General features: G+C 46.3%; 1 annotated feature.

The window, feature by feature from the left end:
• Window positions 22,191-22,530: an enhancer, noted in NCBI's record as "active region_7027". NCBI's record gives its function as "activates an Ori minimal core promoter by ATAC-STARR-seq in GM12878 lymphoblastoid cells {active_cell/tissue: GM12878}" and the evidence as "EXISTENCE:reporter gene assay evidence [ECO:0000049][PMID:35858748]".

Consider the following 22,530-nt stretch of genomic DNA (forward strand, 5'->3'; position numbering starts at 1 on the left):
AAGTCAAGTCTTCCTTGCCAGCACTCTGGAAAACTACTGAAAGCTGTTCACAGCGGAAGTTGATGATCGGCCACTGGGCAGAGAAACCAGTGGTCCCCAGAGACCATCTAAGTTTCTGCACTGACCCGGCCTTTTCTCCTAGGAAATATTGATCAAAATAAAGGGGCTACTGGCTTGACTTAGAAAGCTGTCTTTAGACAGCTGGAACTGGAACATCTAGCCTTCCAGTTCCCTTGCTGGGCATCTAAGCCCCACATTGATGATTTCTGGAATAAGTGCTTTCCACCATCCCTTCCATCTGCCCACATACTGGCCTGCACCCAACCCTGCAGGGAAGCTCCATCCAGATTTTAGGGCCCTCCAGAGCCAAGAATAGGCTTCCAGGGCCTGCTCAGGGCAAATTGTCTTTTCTGCTTATGTGTGTTCAAACTTCTTCTTCCTTCTTCCTCCTTGCCTTCTCCTCCTCCTCCTCCTCTTCTTCTTCTTCTTTGCAAGTTCTCTCTGTATTGCCCAGGCTGGAGTATAGTGGTATGATCTTGGTTCACTGCAGCCTCAACCTCCTGGGCTCAAGCAATCCTCCTACCTCAGCCTCCTAAATAGCTGAGACCACAGGCACGTGCCACTACACCCTGTAAATTTCAAAAGTTTTTTTTGTAGAGAAGGGGTCTCACTCTGTTGGCCAGGCTGGTCTCGAACTCCTGGGCTCAGGCGATCTTCCTGCCTTAGCCATCCAAACTGCTGAGATTACAGGCATGGCCTCATGTTCTTATAGCCTTGAAATTAGAATAAAATCATGGCCTTAGAGCCAGTTGGGAGACTAAGGCTAACCCTAGAGAGGCCAGAGGCTGTGAGTAGGCCCAGAGCAGGCAGCTCTCATCTCTGGCTGCCCACTCTCTGGGTTAACCTCGGAAGACCATTCTCTGCCACTTCCAAGTCTTGTTTGGCTGCATTTGGCTTGGCCAGGTTCTTGCCAGTTACATGGAATCAGACTACTGGAATCAAACTCCAGTTCTGTCCCCTTAGTGGTTGGGTGGCTTTGGGCAGGTGATGTGACATCTCCAAGCTTCAGTTTTGTCATCTATAAAGATAGTACAGAATGGAATGAAATAATGTAAGGGTGTGCTTCGCCTGCGACCAGACACATAATATGGGGATTGTATTTTCCGTATTTTCTAAAATTAGCCATGACAGTATTTCCAGTCTCACATGTTCTTCTAGAACCTTACCACTCCCCTAGCAAGAAATGGAATCTATGGTCCCTCCCCTTACCTGCGGGATGGGGTACGGTGGATGTCATGCTATGCAGCTCTGGAGACTTGGTCTCAGAAGGTAATATAGCTTCCATCCAGCTTTCCTGTTTTCTTGGGATACTTGCTCCTGGAACCCTGCTGCAGTGCTGGGAGGAGGCCAAGGTCACATGAAGAGCGTCTGCGTAGGTGACCTAGGTGACAGCCCCAGGTGAGGTCCCAGTTAACAGCCAGCATCCACCACCGTTGCACATGTGAGTGAAGAATTTTCAAATGACTCTAGCACCCTTCCAACCTCCCAGGGGATGCTGAGCAGGACAGGTTAGCTTTCCCCACAGAGTCCTGGTACAATTACAGATATATGAGCTCAATAAATAACTGGTATGGCTTTAAGCCACCAAACATCCAGGTGTTTTGTTATGCACAATAGATGAGCAGAACACGCAAAGGCCACAATCACCCTTGGTGCATCTCTCCATGCCTCTCTCTTGCTCACACTTCACACTCCCTATCCAGCAGTAAATCCAAACACATTCCAAATCCAACCCCCCCCCGCCCTTTTTTTTTTTCTCTTTGAGACAGAGTCTCACTTTGTCACCCAGGCTGGAGTGCAATGGCACAATCTCGGCTTACTGCAAGCTCCGCCTCCCAGGTTCAAGAGATTCTCCTGCCTCAGCCTCCCGAGTAGCAGGATTAAAGGTGCATGCCACGATGCCCAGCTAATTTTTGTATTTTTAGTAGAGACGGGGTTTCACCATGTTGACCAGGCTGATCTCGAACTCCTGACCTCAAGTGATCTGCCTGCCTCAGCCTCCCAAAGTGCTGGGATTACAGGTGTGAGCCACGGCGCCCGGCCTAAATCCAACCCCTTTAAGTCCAAGCCACCATCATCTCTTGCTGGGAGGACTAAATGATTTCTTCTCTTGCCTGCCTACTGTCTCTTCTCCATGCACAGCCCAGAACGATCTCAGAAACAGAAATAAGATGTCACTCCCTGCTCCAAAGGTCCAATGGCTTCTTGTCAAACTTGGAATAAAATCCAAACTCCTGACTGCGACCTACAAAAGTCAGTGCTCCAAGAAGAAGAAGGAAAAAAAAAAGCCCTGATTTATAGCTTTTGCCAATTTTCATAGTGTTAATACTCCCATCACAATCAATTTCAAGCTTACCAATTTCAGGCAGCAGCATCTGGCATCTGGCTCCCAGGAGCCAGGGGAGTCTCTGACTCATCTCCAACCTCAAACTCTTCCACCTTCTTGCTCCTGCCTTGAGCCACACTGGCCTTGCTGTGCCTGAAGCATCCCAAGCAAACCCCCATCCTAGAGCCATTCCTTCCACAGGAATGCTCTTCCCCAGCTATTTATTCCTTCATTCCATTCAGATCTCTGTTCAACTGTCACCCTGGCAGAGAGGGTTTCCCTGACCACCGGAATAAAATGCTCCCTAGCCCTCAATCCTTCCATCACACTTTTTCTTTTTGAAACAGGGTTTGGTACAGTCACCCAGACTGGAGTGCAGTGGCACGATCAGGGCTCACGGTAACCTCATCCACCCAGGCTCAAGTGATTCTGCAGCCTCGGCCTCCTGAGTAGCTGGAACCACAAGCACAGAGCACTGCACTCGGCTAATTTTAAAATTTTTGGGCCTGGCGCGGTGGCTCATGCCTGTAAACCCAGCACTTTGGGAGGCCGAGGCGGATGGAACACTTTAGGTCAGGAGTTCAAGACCAACCTGGCCAATGTGGTGAAACCCCGTGTCTACTTAAAAAAATTAGCTGGGTGTGGTGGTGCATGCCTGTAATCCCAGCTACTCGGGAGGCTGAGGCAAGAGAACCCCTTAAACCCGGGAGGCAGAGGTTGCAGTGAGCCGAGATTGCTCCATTGCACTCCAGCCTGGGCAACAAGAGTGAAAAACTGTCTCAAAAAAAAAAATTTTTTTTTTTTGTAAAGACAGAGTCTCACTATATTGTTCAGGCCGGTCTCGAACTGCTGGGCTCAAGCAATCCTCCTGTCTTTGTCTCCCAAAGTGCTGGGATTATGGGCATGAACCACTGCACCCAGCCCCCTTCCCATTTTTCTGTTTTTCTCCATGTGATTCTTCACTGCCTGACATTGTGTTATGTCTTTGATTGCCTGTTTTCTGTTTCCACGTGGGTGGGGATTTTTGTCTGCTTGCTATTCTTGCTTTTGTGCCTGGGCCCGTGCCTGGCACATACAAGGTATTCAGTAAAAAATTCTTGAATAGGCCAGGCATGGTGGCTCATGCCTGTAAATCCCAGTACTTAGGGAGGCCAAGGTGGAAGAATGGCTTCAGGCTAGGAGCTCAAGACCAGCCTAGCAACATAGTGAGACCCTGTCTCTACAAAAAAATTTAAAATTAGCCAGGTGGGGTGGGTGCACTGTAGTACCAGCTACTTACGAAGCCGAAGCAGGAGGATCGCTTGAGCCCAGAAGTCAAGGATGCGGTGAACAGTGATCATGCCGCTGCTCTCCAATTTGTGTGATAGAGTGAAACTCTGTTTCTAAAATAACAACAAAAAAAGTTGAATAAACATAAACAAATGGGCCAGGTGCAGGCTCACGCCTGTAATCCCAGCACTTTCGGAGGCCTAGGTTGACGGATCATGAGGTCAGGAGTTCGAGACCAGCCTGACCAACATGGTGAAACCCCGTCTCTACTAAAAATACAAAAATTAGCCAGGTGTGGTGGCACGTGCCTGTAATCCCAGCTACTCGGGAGGCTGAGACAGGAGAATCACTTGAACTCGAGAGGTGGAGGTTGCAGTGAGCCGAGATCACGCCACTACACTCCAGTCTGGGCAACAGAGCGAGACTCCATCTCAAAAACAAACAAACAAAAAACAACAAAAACACAACATTATAGTTGTAAAATTGGGATAATAGTTGGGGAAGAATTGAATGAAGTAATGCAGGTAAGAGCTTAACACAGCACTGGGCTCCCAGTGGGTATGCGTGGGAACCTTGCTATTCACCTCACATCACAGGCCTGGCAGGGCCTGGGAGCTGATGGCTGTTTCTAGGAGGAAGAAAGGCCATTTGTGGGCCATCTCACGGGGCAGAACAGGCCTCTCTCTGGCCCAAGAGTGCCCATCACTGCAGCCGCCGGGGCAAGGGACAGTCTCTTTTTGACTTTGCTGCTTTATAGATTAAGGAAGAGAAACCACCCGAGGGAGTTAAGGCTGGAAAAAAAAATCTTAATTATTTTGACAGTGGGAGTGGGAGAGGGAAACAAATGGCTCATTATTGATTTAATTTTCCAAAGTCCAAAATCAGCATGGCAACATCACCAAGGTAAATAAAAATTAAAAGAATAATCATCCCTCTCCTTTCATACTCATTCTATGTATTTGTTGCTGTTTATTTCTTTGTTTTGTGCTTATGTTTAAAGATAAAAACAAAATAACCTGTTGCAAGTTGGGTTTTCCAGAAGCAGGCACTGAGATGTATGACAGGCTTTGAAAATATACAATGATTTATTTATTGTTCAGTGTAAAAAGTCACGTTGCAGAGCAGTATATAAGTCATAAACCTGTTTGTGTAAAATAAAAAAGTATGAGGTGGTTATATATCCTTGTCTAGGCAGAGAAAATTTCCGGTAGGGGGCTGGGCAGAGTGGCTCACACCTGCAATCCCAGCGCTTTGGGAGGCTGAGGCAGGTTGATCGCTTGAGCCCAGGTTTTCAAGACCAGCCTGGGCAACATAGCAAGACCCTGTGCAGTGGCTCACGCCTGTAATCTCAACATAGCGAGACCTCAACAATAAAATAAAAATCTCAACAATAAAAATAAATTTAACAAAAAGAAAATTTCTGGCAGGATATACACAAAATGTCAACAGTGGGGAGTGTGGCTGGCTGGGAATAGGTGCTGGTGTTCCCCTTGTTATCTTCTATACTCTTTGAATTGTTTTAAAAGTATCAGACAGATATTACTTACATAATAAAAATTTCAGATTAAAATGTTGGTCATGATTTTTGGTCTACCTTTTAAAAATTTTTAGCAGTTTACTGTCCATGTTTGAATAATGCAAATACAATATGTGCTATGGGCTGAACTGCATCCTCCCAAAATTCCAAGGTTGAAGTCTTAACCCCTAGAACCTCAGGATGTGATTGTATTTGGAGATAAGGCCTTGGAAGAGGTGACTGAGTTAGATTGGGGTCATTAGGGTAGGCCCTAATCCAATATGAATGACGTTCTTATAAGAAGAGAGATTAGGGTCCGGGTGTGGTGGCTCATGCCTGTAATCCCAGCACTTTGGGAGGCCGAGGTGGGCAGATCATGAGGTCAGGAGAGCGAGACCATCTTGGCTAACACAGTGAAACCCCATCTCTATTTAAAAAAAAAAAATTAGCGGGGCATGGTGGCGGGTACCTGTAGTCCCAGCTACTTGGGAGGCTGAGGCAGGAGAATGGTGTGAACTGGGGAGGTGGACCTTGCTGTGAGCTGAGATCGCGCCACTGCACTCCAGCCTGGGTGACAGAGCGAAGACACATTAGGCCAGGCATGGTGGTGCATGCCTGTAATCCTAATCCCAGCACTTTGGGAGGCTGAAGCAGGAGGATTGCCTCAGCCCAGGAGTTTGAGACCAGCCTGGGCAACATGGTGAGACCCCATCTCTAAAAAAAAAAAAAAAAAAAAAATTAGCCTGGTGTGGTGATGTGTGCCTATGGCTTATGGCCCTAGCTACTCAGGTGACTAAAGAAAGAAGAAAGAAGAGAGATTAGGGGCCAGGCATGGTGGCTCACTTGAGAGTGTCACTTGAGTCTGGGAGATCAAGGCTGCAGTGAGTCATGATTGCACCACTGCACTCCAGCCTGGGTGACAGAGCAGAAAAAAAAAGAGCGATTAGAACACAGCAAACACACACAGAAGAAGACCCTGTGAAGACAGGTGGAAGACGGTCATCTAAAGCCAGGGAGAGAGCCTCAGAATGAAACTGCCCTGCTGACACCTTCGTCTTGGACTTCCAGCTTCCAGAACTGCGAGGAAATAAATTTCTGTTGCTTAAGCCACCTGGCTTGTGGTATTTTGTTGTGAAAGCTCTAGCAGACAAATATAATGTGTTAAATATTTAGAAAACATGGAAACGTGGAAAGGATGAAATCACACATAATTCTACCATCCAGCAAGACCCACAGCAAGATGCTGCTTCTGGCTCAGAGTGAAGTTGCCGGGGGCTTGGTGTCCATGCTCCTCACCTCACCACTTGCCTTCGGAAAGCTGGGGGTAGATTTAGCATCTGAAGAGCCTGCCTCCACACAAATGGGATGGCAGGGCAGTTTGGCCCTTTCAGCTTGCTATGGACTTTCTATGAAAAGGTGATGCTTCCTTCTATAAGGTCATAAAATTCCATACACCAGAGAATTTGAGTGTGACATGATTTAGAGCAGGAGATGGTAACTTTTTCTGTAAAGCTCCAGATAGAAAATATTTTTGACTTTTGCAGGCCCAGTGGTCTTTGTCATGAATACTCATCTGCCAATGTAGCATGAAAGCAGTCTTTGACAATACATCAAAGAATGAATGAGTGTGGTTGTTTCCTAATAAAACTTTATTTACAAAAATGTGGTGGGCCCATGACCCTCATCAGACGGTGCTTGCTTTAGAGCAGTGATATATTTTTAAATTTAATTTAATATTTTAATTAGAAGCAATGATTACTTTAAGGAGAAAGTATCATTGCTTTCTTTTTTTTTGTTTTGTTTTGTTTTGTTTCTGAGACAAATAAAGTTTTTTTGTTTTGTTTTGTTTTGTTTCTGAGACAGAGTCTCCCTCTGTCGCCCAGGCTGGAGTGTAGTGGTGTGATCTCAGCTCACTGCAACCTTGGCCTCCTGGGTTTAAGCGATTCTCCTGCCTCAGCCTCCTGAGTAGCTGGGACTACAGGCACCCACCACTACCACTGGCTGATTTTTGTGTTTTTAATAGCAACAGAGTTTCACCATTTTGGCCAGGCTTGTCTCAAACTCCTGACCTCAAGTGATCTGCTCACCTCGGTCTCCTGAAGTGCTGGGATTACAGGCGTGAGCCACTGCACCCAGCCTGATGCTAATAAGTTTTTGTTTTTGTTTTTGTTTTTGTTTTGAGACGGAGTCTTACTCTGTTGCCCATGTTGGAGTGAAGTGGCATGATCTCAGCTCACTGCAACATCTGCCTCCCAGGTTCAAGTGATTCTCCTGCCCCAGCCACCTCAGTAGCTGGGATTACAGGTGCCCACCACCATGCCTGGCTTTTTTTGTATTTTAGTAGAGACGGGGTTTCACCATGTTGGCCAGGCTGGTCTTCAACTCCTGACCTCAAGTGATCTGCCTGCCTCGAACTCCTAAAGTGCTGGGATTACAGGTGTGAGCCACCGCGCCTGGCCGGTAATCTCTTTTTAACAAAGAGAAAGTAGACCTCAAGTCCAGTCGTTAGAAGGTGTGAAAATACCCAGTCTGAATGTAAGAAAACTGGCCTTCAAAGTGTATATATTTACAATTATCTTCTATTTATGGCACGTGACACTGATTTTACATTTATGATTTTTTTTTTCTTTTTTTTTTTTTTTGAGACAGAATCTCACTCTGTTGCCCAGGCTGCAGTGCAGTGTCACAATCTTGGCTCACTGCAGCCTTGACCTTTGGGTCTCAAGCAATCCTTCCACCTCAGCCTCCCCAGTAGCTGGGATTACAGGTGCCCGCTACCACGCCCAGCTAATTTTTGTATTTTTAGTAGAGAAAGCGTTTCACCATGTTGGCCAGGCTAGTCTCGAACTCCTGATCTCAGGTGATCTGGCTGCCTCAGCCTCCCAAAGTGCTGGGATTACAGGCGTGAACCACTGTGCTCAGCCAGTACTCTTTATTTTTCTATTAAAAAAAATTTATTGAGCACCTGCTACCTGCCAAGCCCTATTCTAGGTGGTAAGCAACAATTAAAAATAAAAAAAAATCGGCTGGGTGCGGTGGCTCACACTTTGGGAGGCTGAGGTGGGGATATCACCTGAGGTCAGGAGTTAGACCAGCCTGGCCAACATGATGAAACCCCCATCTCTATTAAAAATACTAAAAATAGAAAAATTAGCTGGGTGTGGTGGCGGGCACCTGTAATCCCAGCTACTTGGGAAGCTGAGGCAAGAGAATCACTTGAACTAGGGAGGTGGCGGTTACAGTAAGCCGAGGTTGCACCACTGCACTCCAGCCTGGGCAACAGAGTGAGATTCCGTCTTTAAAAAAAAAAAAAAAAAAGACATTCAAGTGTGGCTTGATCCAGGAGCTCAAATGATGCTATCCGGGCTGGTCTCTGTGTGTCTCTTTCTTTCCGTCACTTAGTTTAGCTTCCTTTTGTGCTAATGCCACTCTCTCAATCAGCTGTTACCCTCTGGGTGGAAAGGTGGTTGCCAGCAGCCCCCACCATCCCACCCTCACAGGCCCAAGACCAGCAGAGAAGGGAGTTACCTTTATCTTTGCAGGAGATGAAACAAAATCCTGGGCCTGACTCTCAGTGGTCCAAATGGAGACACTAATCACTAAGGCCAGAGGCCTGCGAGGCTCTGATTGGCCATGTGCAAATCACATGACTACACTGGGTGCAGAAAGTAGAATTTCCATCACTCAGACCAAATGAACCAGTAGCGTGGGTAAGAAGCTGTTCAGAGGAAAACTGAGGTATTGTTACTTGAAGAAGTGTGAATAGGTGGGGGTGCGTGGGTAAAGAAACAATGTAAGTGGTTGGAATTTGGCAGCTGAATTTAAGGGGGGTGGTGGATCTCATTTCTCTGAGTTCTAACTTGGCTATCCTTGGTTGCATCAGAACATTATTTCTGGACCAGGCACAGTGGCTCATGCCTGTAATCTGAGCACTTTGGGAGGCCAAGGTGGGAGGATCGCTGTGGCCAGGAGTTCCAGGCTGCAGTGAACTATGATGGTGCCACTGCACTCCAGCCTAGACGACAGAGCAAGATTCTGTCTCAAAAGAAAAAAAAAAAGACTAGAAAAAAATTATTACTAAAAAATTTTTGGCAGTTGTGGCCTGGTGTCCCTTGCCAAGAGATGCATTCATCAGGATGAAAAGGTCCAGCTGCGTAATGAATGAACCTAGTGGAGAGATGGGCAGGTCTACCGTGAGTGGAATGGGTGCCCACTGAGCTCAAGGGAAAGTGGGACTTGGTGTTGGGGCAGCTCATACCCTCGTGTCTGGACCAACCTCAGGGCTGATCTGACATGGATGGGTGTTTCTGATTTGTCTCTTTGCAGAAAGCAGAAGTCACCGGGCTGGCACAGAGCAGGGGTTGAGGCCTTTGACAGGAGATGGAGATAAGGTGAGGGACAGCCAGATCCCAGGGGCATGGGCAGAGGAGCCACACCCTGCAGGAGGCAGCCTGGAAACTGTCTCCTCTTTGCAAGACTTGAGAATGTTCCTCTGCGATCCCCAGAAAACACGATCTTCCACAGTGCCGTGCCCAGAGCATAAAAAATAATAAAATAAGGCCAGGCGTGGTGGCTCATGCCTGTAATCCCAGCACTTTGGGAGGCCGAACAGGTGGATCACCTGAGGTCAAGAGTTCGAGACCAGCCTGGCCAACATGATGAGACCCTGTCTCCACTAAAAATACAAAAATTAGCCAGGCTTGGTGGTGCATGCCTGTAGTCCCAGCTACTCGGGAGGCTGAGGCGGGAGAATCACTTGAACCCAGGAGGCAGAGGTTGCAGGAGCCAAGATCATGCCACTGCACTCCAGCCTGGGCGACAGAGTGAGACTCTGTCTCAAAATGAATAAATAAATAAATAAAATAGGAAGGGCGTGTACCATAGATTTCATTTTTGCTGTGTATAACAGAAACTCAAGCACTTACTGATTTGTTTTTCTCTCATATTAAAATAAGTTCATGGAGGGGTGGGGGACAACTCAGGTCTTCTGTAGGAAATCCATAGAGTCATCAGGGACCAAGTTTTTCTAACTTTTCCCTTGGCCTCCTTTTGCTTTTTTTTTTTTTTTTTGTAACAGGGTCTGTCTCTGTTGCCCAGGCTGAAGTGCAGTAGCATGATTTTGGCTCACTGCAACCTCCACCTCCCAGGGTCAAGTGATCCTCCCACCTCAGCCTCCCTAGTAGCTGGGACTATAGGCATGTACCACCATGCCTAGCTAAGTTTTGTATTTTTAGTAGAGATGGGTTTTCACCATGTTGGCCAGGCTGGTCTTGAACTCCTGGCTTCAAATGATCCACCTGCCTCAGCCTCCCAAAGTGCAAGGATTACAGGCATGGGTCACCATGCCTGGCCTTTTTTGTTTTTTTGTTTTTTAAAGACAGGGTCTTGCTCTGTCACCCAGGCTGGAGTGCAGTGGTGTGATTACAGCTTACTGCAGCCTTGACCTCCTGGGCTCAAGCAATCCTCCTGTCTCAGCCTCCTAAGCAGCTGGGACTACAGGCATGCATCACCATGTTTGGCTAATTTTTATTTTTACTTTTGTAGAGATGGGGTCTCACTGTGTTGCCCAGGCTGGTTTTGAACTCCTGGCCACAAGCAATCCTCCCTCTTTGCCTTCCACAGTGCTGGGATTACAGGCGTGAGCCACTGCGCCCAGACTCTGTCTCCTTTTGTGCGTTCTCAAGGTTGCTGGAGAGTTTTCATAGCCCATTCTAGAGAGGAACCACAAAGTCACAAAGCAGAGGGTGTGGACGTGTGATTCTATTAAAGGAGAAATGGAAGAATTCCAGTCTACCACCAGGACCAAGACAGAGTGTTAATGTTTCTTTTTAATGGCCCTCACTTCCCATCTTAGTGCTTTGCATCTTGCAGGTGTGCAATAAATATTGCTGCCTGAATTATAGCTTCCTGGCCACTCCAACATGGCAGGAGCTTCCTGCTTGCATGCGAAATTGAACACCCAACAATCACACCTAAGATTTATTGCACACTTGACTTCAAGCCTGGCACAGCGCTTAGAGAAACACCTTGCATACATCTTTTAATTTTATTTAAAGCTTTAAAAATTGTGGCTAAGTATCTTATTATTAAATAATAATTTTTATTTTTATGAGATGGGATCTCCCAGCCTGGGCAACATAGCAAGACCCTATCTCTTAAAAAAAAAATTAGCTGGGCATGGTGGCACGTGCCTGTAGTCCCAGCTACTTAGGAGTCTGAGGTGGAAGGATTGCTTAAGCCTAGCAGATCGAGGCTGCAGCAAGCTGTGATCACACCACTGCACTCCAGCCTGGGCAACAGAGTGAGACTGTATCCCCCACCCCCCCGCCAAAAAGTAAGAGATGGGGTCTTGCTATGTTGCCCAGGCTGGTCTCAAACTCCTGGGTTCAAGTGATCCTCCTGTCTCAGTCTCCTGAGTGGCTGGGATTACAGGCACATGCTACCATGCCCAGATTAATAATCATTTTTATTAGAGACTTGAGGTCCAGAGAAGTTAAGTGATTTGCCTAAGGTCACATAACAAATTGTGGACTGGGGACTTGAACCCACATCTGCCTGAGCCAAAAGGCTCTTTTCTTAACTATTAGGTGATCTTGCTTCCTTGATCCTCAAAAAACCACCAGGGCTGAGCGAGGTGGCTCATGCCTGTAATCCCAGCACTCTGGGAGGCAAGGCGGGTGGATCACCTGAGGTCAGGAGTTCGAGACCAGCCTGGCCAACATGGCGAAACCCCATCTCTACTAAAAATACAAAAAGTAGCCTAGCATGGTGGCACGTGCCTGTAGTCTTAGCTACGAGGGAGGCTGAGGCAGGAGAATCACTTGAACCTGGGAGGCGGAGGATGCAGTGAGCCAAGATGGCACCACTGCACTCCAGCCTGGGGAACAGAGTGAGACTCCCTCTCAAAACAAACAAAAAAACCCCCAAAAAAGCCTACCAAGATAAATGCACTATAACGTTCATTGCAATGTCATCAAAGCTAATGCTTATGGGAGGCTTATTTTGTGCCCAGCTGTGTTCTCAGCATTTGATATGAATCATCCGTGTAATCCTCTCTAACAGTCCTATGAAGTAAGCACTATAATTATCTCAGTTTACAGATGTGGAAGCAGAGTTATAAGGAACTTAAGTGAGTGTCCCTTGAGTGGCTGAATTAAGAATCAAACCCAGGCAGCCTGCCTGCCTGCAAAACCTGTAGCAGACACTGTCAGTGCCTCCCCCATAGCCTTTCAGTAATCGCCTTTCTGTGCCAGAAAGGTTCAAACTGTCCACTCTGCAATTGCACAACCCCAAGAGTAAGTGCCTCCTTAAATTTTGCACCCTAGTCACCTCACTTGCCTCCCTCTAGTCGTGGACCTGCTGCCAGCACCTGTACTTGGCTCTGTCTACCAGGGCTTGCTCAACAAGTCTGGGGGCAAATCAGTAGTGCCAAGAAGTTAGTTTGCCCTGGGAACATCCTTCAACCAGTGACTGACAGGGGTTGGCGGATAAATACCCCAGCTCCCTCACCCCTCAGATGGGATAACTGTATGTATGTATGTATGTATGTATTTATTTATTTAGAGACAGAGTCTCACTCTGCTGCCCAGGGTGGAGTGCAGTGGCGTGATCTCGGCTCACTGCAACCTCTGCCTCCTGGGTTCAAGTGATTCTCCTGCCTCAGCCTCCTAAGTAACTGGGATTATAGACACCTGCCACCACACCCAGCTAATTTTTGTAGTTTTAGGAGAGATGGGGTTTTACCATGTTGTTCTCGAACTCATGACCTCAAGTGATCCGCAGATGGGATAACTCTGAAGTGTGTTCTACCCAGCTCCTGGCATTCCCAAACAGAATGCCCCAGTTGCCACAGTGGTAATTTGCTTGAGAAAATACCCTTATATTAACTTCCTTCTCTTACCCTCTTCCTGATGTTTCCTGGAATTACCCTCCAAATAAACAACTTGCAGTAGAATCCTTGTCTCTGATTCTGTTCTGAGTTCAGTCAGAGCCTAAAGTTACACTCTCTACACATACTGCCTATACATGTCAATGTCTTTTGTAACTGCAAACAGAACAAGCAGCTTAGAAAAACCCTGGAAGTCACCTAAGTAGGAAACTGGCTAAGAAAATCTTTGCCGGGTGTGGTGGCTCATGCCTGTAATCCCAGCACTTTGGGAGGCTGAGGTGCGCAGATCACAAGGTCAGGAGTTCGAGACCAGCCTGACCAACATGGTATAAACCCCATCTGTACTTAAAAAAAAAAAAAAGCCGGGCGTGGTGGTATACGCCTGTAATCCCAGCTACTCGGGAGGCTGAGGCAGGAGAATTGCTTGAACCCAGGAGGTAAAGGTTGCAGTGAGCTGAAATCACGCCACTGCACTCCAGCCTGGGTGATAAAGCAAGACTCTGTCTCAAAAAAGAAAAAAGAAAAAAAAGAAAATCTTTGTGTGCATGTATATATAAGTGGTTGTATACGCATGTATATAAATGGTTGTATATGCATGCAGGTTTGCGTGCATTGGTGTGAAATTGCGTGTTCACAGACCTCTTCCACACCATAAAACTTGCTCAATGGGCCACTTCCACAACATAAAAACTTGCTTCAAAGTTCAAGGTCATCCAGTCAAGCCAAGAGCAGGCAAACTTTGAAGAGTGGACCAACTTTGCTTCCCAAACAGCCCAAGAGGAAGGACACCTATTGATAAGATAAACATGAACAAATTTGCCATTTGTTGTGAATGATCATGGTTCAAGCCAGCCTTAAGCAGCACCTCAAGCTGTGGGTTTTCTGTTCTTGTGTTGTTATTTTATTTTTTGGTGGGAGAGGCCTGAGGTTGGGAAGAGGAATGTGGAGGAAAGAAGTTGGTGAGTTGGTGTAGCTTTTTTTTTTAATTTTTTAAAAATTTTTTAGATGGAGTCTCGCTCTGTCACCCAGGCTGGAATGCAGTGGTACCATCTCAGCTCACTACAACCTCCACCTCCCAGGTTAAAATGATTCTTCTGCCTTGGCCTCCTAAGGAGTTGGGATTACAGTTGTGTGCCACAATGCCTGGCTAATTTTTGTATTTTTAGTAGAGATGGGGTTTTGCCTTGTTGGTCAGGCTGGTCTCGAACTCCTGACCTCAAGTGAACCATCCGCTGTGGCCTCCCAAAGTACTGGGATTCTAGGTGTGAGCCATCATGCATGGCCGGTGCAGCTTAAACTGGAGGCAGTTGTGGGGTTCTTGTCAACCCAAATTATGTATATATATGTATATATACACACACACACACACAGGCTAAATAATCTATATATATATATATATAGCTATATATATATAGATTATTATGTATAGATATATAGCTATATATATATAGATATATATAGCTCAGCAAAGTTATAATTCCACTTTGAGATCAAGGTCAGGCCTTCGTCAGGCCTGGGATCTGAATATCAGCTGAACTTGTCCTTGTACCACCTATTAACAGAGCCCTTTCTCAACTCCAAGCCCTTTATGGACAAGATCTCATCTAATCCTTACCATAACCCTATGACGTATAAGCAGTATCATTATCCTTATTTCACGGATGAGGAAAATGGAGTCCCAGGAGGTTAAGCGACTTGTTCAAAGTCACCTAGGATTCGATGTTGGGAAGAGCTGGGATTCAAACTGAGGTCCATCTTCTTCCACATCCTTTGGTCCTTCCCAGAACCCTGGGGCAGATGTGTAAGTCAGCTTTGCTGCATAACAAACAATCCTCACATCTCAATGGTTTACAACAATACACGTGGATTTCTTGCTCTTGTTAATGTCAGTGGCTGCAGCTGTGGCTACGCTGGGCTCTGCTCTGTGTGTCTTTTCATTCTGGGGTCTTATGGGACATGCCCATTCTTGTTGCAGAAGGGAAACTTGTAAGAAAGCAGGAGAAAACCCTAGCTATGCCTCTTACAGCTCTTAGGTGGATGTGACGGGCATTACATATTCTGTTGGCCAAAGCATGCCATATGGCCAAGTCAGTTGGCGGAAAACAGAGAAAGGAGTGAAAAATTAAAAACAATAATATATTCCACCATGTTTGCCCGCTTGGTTACAAAGATTTATTTCTGTCCCATCTGCTCTCAAAATACACCTCCCCATCACCCAAGGAAGACACCTCAAAAAGTCACATCCAGTCATGACAGAAGGCTTTGAGTCTAGGATCTTGTGCTGGTCTCCAATTCATTTGCAGAGAGATCATTGCCTCCAAGAGCCTTTTCTGCAGGCCCTTGTACTGTCTGAAACGAATAGAATAGACTGTCACTGTTTCAGATTCCCACGGGACAACTTGGGGGAAGGCATTTCAGTAGCAGGAGAGCTGGAAGACTAGCTAGGCCAGTCACAGCAGGAGATAATAGTAATAGTAATAATAATAATTACTAACATATATTGTGTGCATCCTGTGGGTCAGGCAGCATGTTAAGAACTGTATCTCTTTTCATCATCACAACACCATTTTATTATTTTATTCCATTTGTTAGCATTATCAACCCATTTTATAGAAACGGAGGCGGATGCTTGTCCCTGACCCCAGTTCACAGAATCACTCACTTAATTCCTGAAATGTCTCCTCACTGCTTACCTCTGATGGCTGACGGTCCTGGGCTATTAACCCTTTAATCTCTACCACTGCTGTCCCACTTCTAATGCCTTCCACACTATCTGAAGCAGTCTAATGCCCCACCATGCTCTCCCAAAAGTCTCACTGATCTTTCTTTCCCCACTCCCCTCAATCTACAACTTGTCGCTCTGAGCAATGGTCTGTATTTGTTTTTTTTTTTCAGGCAGGGTCTTACTCTGTTGCCCAGGCTGGATTGCAGTGGTGCAATCATGGCTCACTGCAGCCTCGACCTCCTAGGCCCAAATGATCCTCTCACCTCAGCCTCTGGAGTAGATGGGACCACAGGTATGCACCACCCTGCCTGGCTAATTTTTTTATTTTTTGTGGAGATGGTGCCTCACTATGTTGCCCAGGCTGGTCTTGAACTCCTGGGCTCAAGCAATCCTCCTGCCTTAGCCTCCCAAAGTGCTGGGATTACAGGTGTGAGCCACTGCACCTGGCTTGTATTTTTTTTTTTTCATTGTCTGAAATTTCTATAAACTTGGCCTGTGTTAGTTTTAAAACAACCAGGCTGAGAGCGGTGGCTCACACCTGTAATCCCAGCACTTTGGGAGGCCAAGGTGGGTGGATCCCCAGAGGTCAGGAGTTCAAGACCAGCCTGGCCAACATGGCAAAACCCCATCTCTACAAAAAATACAAAAATTAGGTGGTGGCAGGTGCCTGTAATCCCAGCTACTTGGGAGACTGAGGCAGGAGAATCACTTGAACCTGGGAGGCGGAGGTTGCTGTAAGCTGAGATGGCACCACTGCACTCCAGCCTGGGCAACAGAGTGAGACTCAAAAACACAACAACAACAAAAAAACACTTTAGTTACTTTAACAAATAGACACCAACTAGCAGTGACCGAAATAAGATAGAAGCTTATTTCTCTTTCATAGAAAGGTACTGTGAAAGGAAAATATCTTGGGCCCCCAAAATTACTAAGTAGGGGAAAAATCAAGCTGGGAACTGCTTGTGGAAAACCTGCCTCCCATTCTGTTCAAAGTCACCCCTCTGCTCACTGAGATAAACGCATATCTGATTGCCTCCTTTGGAAAGGCTAATCAGAAACTCAAAAGAATGCCCCCTATTTGTCTCTCACCTACCTGTGACCTGGAAGCCCCTTTCTTTCCCCCACTTCCAGTTGTCCCGCCTTTCTGGACCTAAACAATGTTCATCGTACATATGTTGATTGATGCCTCATGTCTCCCTAAAATGTATAAAACCAAGCTGTGCTCTGATCGCCTTGGGCACATGTCATCAGGGCCTCCTGAGGCTGTGTCATGGGCACACATCCTCAACCTTGGCAAAATAAACTTTCTAAATTAACTGAGACCTGTCTCAAATTTTCGGGGTTCACAGTACATATGGGCAGACTTGGGCTCAATGGCACTTCCATAATTATCAGATACCTGGGCTCCTTCCATCTTATTTTTATGCTATCCTCAACAGTTGTCAGCCCTCTTGAGACACAAGACAGCTGCTGTAGCACCTGCCGTCATGTGTGTATTCCAGCCAGAGAGAAGCTTGCAAAGGGGAAGCAAAGAGCATGCCCCTTAGTTTTAAGGACACTTCCTAGAACTTGTACATACCATTTCTGTGTACATCCCATTGGCTGGAAGGTAATCATAAGATCATATCACTACCACAGAGCTGCAATTGTTACCGGAAAGGAGTCCTGATCCAGACCCCAAGAGAGGGTTCTTGGATCTCGCACAAGGAAGAATTCAGGGCAAGTCCGTAAAGTGAAAGCAAATTTATTAGAGAAGTAAAGAAAAGAAAAAAAGAATGAGCCAGGTGCAGTGGCTCATGCCTGTAATCCCAGCACTTTGGGAGGCTGAGGCAGGCAGATCATTTGAGTCCAGGAGTTCAAGACCACCCTGGGCAATATGGCAAAACCCCATCTCCACACACACAAAAAAATTAGCCGGGCATGGTGGCATGTGCCTGTAGTCTCAGCTACTCAGAAGGCTGAGGTGGGAGGATCACTTGAGCCCAGAAGGCAGAGGTTGCAGTGAGCTGAGATTGTGCCATGGCACTCCAGTCTGGGTGACAGAGTGAGACCCTGTCTCAAAAAAATTAAAACAAATTAAAGGCTGGGCACAGTGGCTCACGCCTGTAATCCCAGCACTGTGGGAAGCCAAGGTGGGTGGATCACGAGGTCAGGAGATCGAGACCATCCTGGCTAACACAATGAAACCCTGTCTCTACTAAAAATACAAAAAATTAGCTGGGCGTGGTGGCACCTGCCTATAGTCCCAGGTACTCAGGAGGCTGAGGCAAGAGAATCGCTTTAACCCAGGAGGCGGAGGTTGCAGTGAGCCGAGATCATGCCACTGCACTCCAGCCTGGGTGACAGAGTGAGACTCTGTGTCAAAAAAAAAATTAAAATTAAAATAATAGCTTCTCCACGAACAGAGAAGCTGTGAGAGCTGCTGGTTGGCTATTTTTATAATTATTTCTTGATCATATGCTAAAGGGATGGATTATTCATAGGTGTTTTGGGAAAGGGGGAGGGATTTCCTGGAACTGAGAGTTCTTCTTCCTTTTAGACCAACACAAATTAAAGAAAGAGGAAAGAAACATGAAAGGTGGCTCACCAGTCAAGACAGGTTTATTTTAGAGAAAACAAACCTGAGAGGAGCTTCTGGCGAGTTGTCAAAGGCACACTCTCTTACAGACTAAGAGTTTTTAAGGATTCAGGGTGGGAGAGTTTATCAGAGGCTTGGGCTGCTTCTGTGTCTCTTTGTTGTGCTTATCTGGGAGGGAGAGTTGTGTGTTTGTTGCCAAACATCTTCCTGCAGCTGCAGGCATATCCTCTGAGTCTACTTTTAGCTTCCCTATCTTAGTGCACCTGAAGGGAAAGGAATATGCTTATTTAAGGCCCACTGTTTTACTGGGGCCCATTGTATGAGGGTGAAGTTCGGCAGTTACCTAAGAGACATTCCCCCCACATCCCTCTGTGCCCGAGCTATCTTATCTGTGTTTTACTCTCTGCTCTTTCTGGCTGCTTGTAGTTAGAAGAGAAGTGATCTCCTTGAAATGAATGAAGCTGGAAAGGGAGCTGGAACTTAAAGCAGCTTTAAGCTGCTTTAACAAATCTCTGTTTGTCAGAGATTACAGTGCTCCTGCTCTGTCAGTAGCTTCCAGACGTTGCCGTGGCATTTGTAAACTGTTGTGGTGCTGGTGGGAGTGTCTTTTAGCAGCTAATGCATTATATTAAAACACACACACACACACACACACACACACACACACACACACACACACACACACAGAGGGGTGAAGTCATTTGCTCAAGGTCACATGGCCAGGAAGCAGCCATTGCTGCTATATCTATCTATCTATCTAGACAGATATAGATAGATAGATATATAGTTTTTGGTTTGTTTGTTTTGAGACAAAGTCTCACTCTGTCATCCAGGCTGGAGTGCAGCAGCACAATCTCAGCTCGCTGCAACCTCCACCTCCCAGGTTCAAGTGATTCTTCTGCCTCAGCCTCCCAAGTAGCTGGGATTACAGGTGTGTGCCACCATACCTGGCTAATTTTTGTATTTTTACAGGTCATAAAAACCCCACTGATAAAACAGGATGCAGTAAAGAAGCCAGCCAAAACCTGCCAAAACTAAGATGACAATCAAAGTGACTTCTGGTCATACTGACTGCTCCTTATACACTAATTATAATGCATTAGCTTGGCCAGGCACAGTGGCTCATGCCTGTAATCGCAGCACTTTGGGAGGCCAAGGCAGGCAGATCACCTGAGGTCAGGAGTTCAAGACCAGCCTGGCCAACATGGTGAAACCCCATCTCTACTAAAAAATACAAAAAATTAGCTGGGTGTGGTGGTGGGTGCCTGTAGTCCCAGCTACTCGGGAGGCTGAGGCAGGAGAATGGCGTGAACCCAGGAGGAAGAGCTTGTAGTGAGCCGAGAATGCCCCACTGCACTCCAGCCTGGGCGACAGAGCAAGACTCTGTCTCAAAAAAAAAAAAAAAAAAAAAAAGAAACTAACACTTACTCTTCAAATGTAAACTCCATATTAATTCAGAGCAGGGGCTGGGCCTTGCAATGGGTAGGGCAGAGAAGCAGGTATCGAATTGTCTGATTGGTTTCTCCTCTGGCCCCCAAACTAACAAAACAACACCCCCACCCCCAAAAGGCTGTGGATGAGGACGGGCACAGTGGCTCATGCCTGTAATCCTAGCACTTTGGGAAGCTGAGGTGGGCAGATCACATGAGGTCAGGAGTTCAAGACCAGCCTGGCCAACATGGTGAAACCCCATCTCTACTAAAAATACAAAAATTAAGCTGGGCACGGTGGCTCACACCTGTAATCCCAGCACTTTGGGAGGACGAGACGAGCGGATCACGAGGTCAGGAGTTCAAGACCAGCCTGGCCAACATGGTGAAAACCCGTCTGTACTAAAAATACAAAATTAGCCAGGCGTGATGGCAGGCACCTGTAATCCCAGCTACTCAGGAGGCTGAGGCAGGAGAATCACTTGAACCTGGGCAGCAGAGGTTGCAGTGAGCCAAGATCGAGCCACTGCACTCTAGCCTGGGCGATAGAGTGAGACTCTGTCTCAAAAAAAAAAAAAAAAAAAAGCCAGGTGTGGTGGTGCACACCTGTAATCCCAGCTACTCAGGAGGCTGAGGCAGGAGAATCACTTGAACCGGGGAGGTGGAGGTTGCGGTGAGCCGAGATCATGCGACTGCACTCCAGCCTGGGTGACAGACCAAGACCCAAAACTCCGTCTCAAAAAGAAAAAAAAAAAAAAAAAAAGGGCTGTGAATGAGATGGGCTTGTATTATCCCATTGGAACCTGGCTTTTCCAGGACTTTCTTCTGACTATACTCATCTCTGAGGCGGGTCCCTGTGAATGGTTTTCTTGTCCTGTCATCCACAGGGTTAATCCCTTGAGGGATGTGTTCAGATTGCTGCTTGGCTGCTTCCTGGCTGTGTGACCTTGGGCAAATGACTTCACTTCTCTGAGCTTCAGTTTCCTCCTCTGCAAAATGGAGGTAAGAATAGTGCTTAGCTCATGCAACTGTTGTGAAGGAATGGAAGAGATAAGCAATGGGAAGTGTTTAGCCTGCAACCTCATCTTAGAGCACCTGATACAATCGAACTATCATTACCATTCTCAGATAATTTTTTAAAATAGTGTCTCCTCAAGCAACTGTTTAGAACAGCGCTATCCATTAGAAATAGAATTCAAGGCCGGGCACGGTGGCTCACGCCTGTAATCCCAGCACTGTGGGAGGCCAAGGCGGATGGATCCCTTGAGGCCGGGAGTTCGAGACCAGCCTGGCTAACATGGTGAAACCCCCTCTCAACTAAAAATACAAAAATTAGCCAGGTGTGATGGTGGGCGCCTGTAGTCCCAGCTACTTGGGAGGTTGAGGCGGGAGAATCGCTTGAATCTGGGAGGCAGAGGTTGCAGGGAGCCAAGATCTCGCCACTGCACTCCAGCCTGGGCAACAGAGTGTGTTTAAAAAAAAAAAAAAAGAATTCAAACCACATATGGACTTTTAATTTTTCCAGTAGCCTCATTAAAAAAGCTGAAGTTAATTTAAATGATATATTTAATTTAACCTGATATATTTTAAAAATGACCATTTTAACACGTAATCAATATAAAGAAAGCATTCTGGTCGGGCACAGTGGCTCATGCCTGTAATCCTGGCACTTTGGGAGGCCGAGTCGGGTGGATCACCTGAGGTCAGGAGTTCAAGACCAGCCTGGCCAACATGGTGAAACCCCGTCTCTACTAAAAATACAAAAATTAGCCGGGCACGGTGGTAGGCACCTGTAATCCCAACTACTTGAGAGGCTGAGGCAGTAGAATAGCTTGAATCTGGGAGGTGGAGGTTATAGTGAGCCAAGATCATGCCATTGTACTCCAGCCTGGGTGACAAGACAGTCCATCTCAAAAAAAAAAAGAGAGAGAGAAAAAAAAGAAAGTATTTCAAGGCTAGGTGCAGTGGCTCATGCCTGTAATCCTAGCACTTTGGGAGGCCAAAGTGAGAGGATTGCTTGAAGCCAGGAATTTGAGACCAGTCTGGGCAACATAGTGAAACCCTGTTTCGAAAGAAAGAAAAGAAAGAAAGAAAGAAAGAAAGGAAGGAAGGAAGTAAAGAAAATTAGCTAGAAGTGATTACACATACACAAGTCCCAGCTACTTGTGAGGCCATTACAGCTTGGGTGACAGAGTGAAACCCTGACTCATAGAAATAAGAAAAAAAAGAAAGAAGGAAGGAAAGAAAATGAATGAAAGAAAGAAAGAAAGAAAAGAAATTAATTTAGCACCATAGGAAAGGTTTTTTTTAAAAAAGCATGAGCTATGTTATCCTCTTTTTTTTTTTTTGTATAAGGCTACAAAATCTGGTATTTTGCACTTATATCCCATCTCAGTTCGGACAAGCCACATTTCAAGGGCCCAAAACCCCATTTGGTGAGTGGCAGCCATATTGGATAGAGACAGCCCACCTTCTCTGGTTTTGTCTCTGCAGATAGCCAAGGAAACCTAATTATGCATCCAACTCTCTGGCCCATTGGCTGAGTCACCTGCCGGGAAGCTTTCAGAATATTTATAGGTAACTGATCTACAGAAAACAGAAAGTGATACCATCTCCAGCCCCCACAACCTTTCTTCAGTCTCAAGTTTGCCGTCTCAGCTACTGTTTTCTAGAGGCCCAGTGGGAAGAGTATGCAAAGTGGCAGTAAAGTACATATGTAAACGTGTAGGCAAAAGGCT

This window comes from Homo sapiens, chromosome 12, assembly GCF_000001405.40.
Source record: "Homo sapiens chromosome 12, GRCh38.p14 Primary Assembly".
NCBI classification, from domain to species: Eukaryota; Metazoa; Chordata; class Mammalia; order Primates; family Hominidae; genus Homo; species Homo sapiens.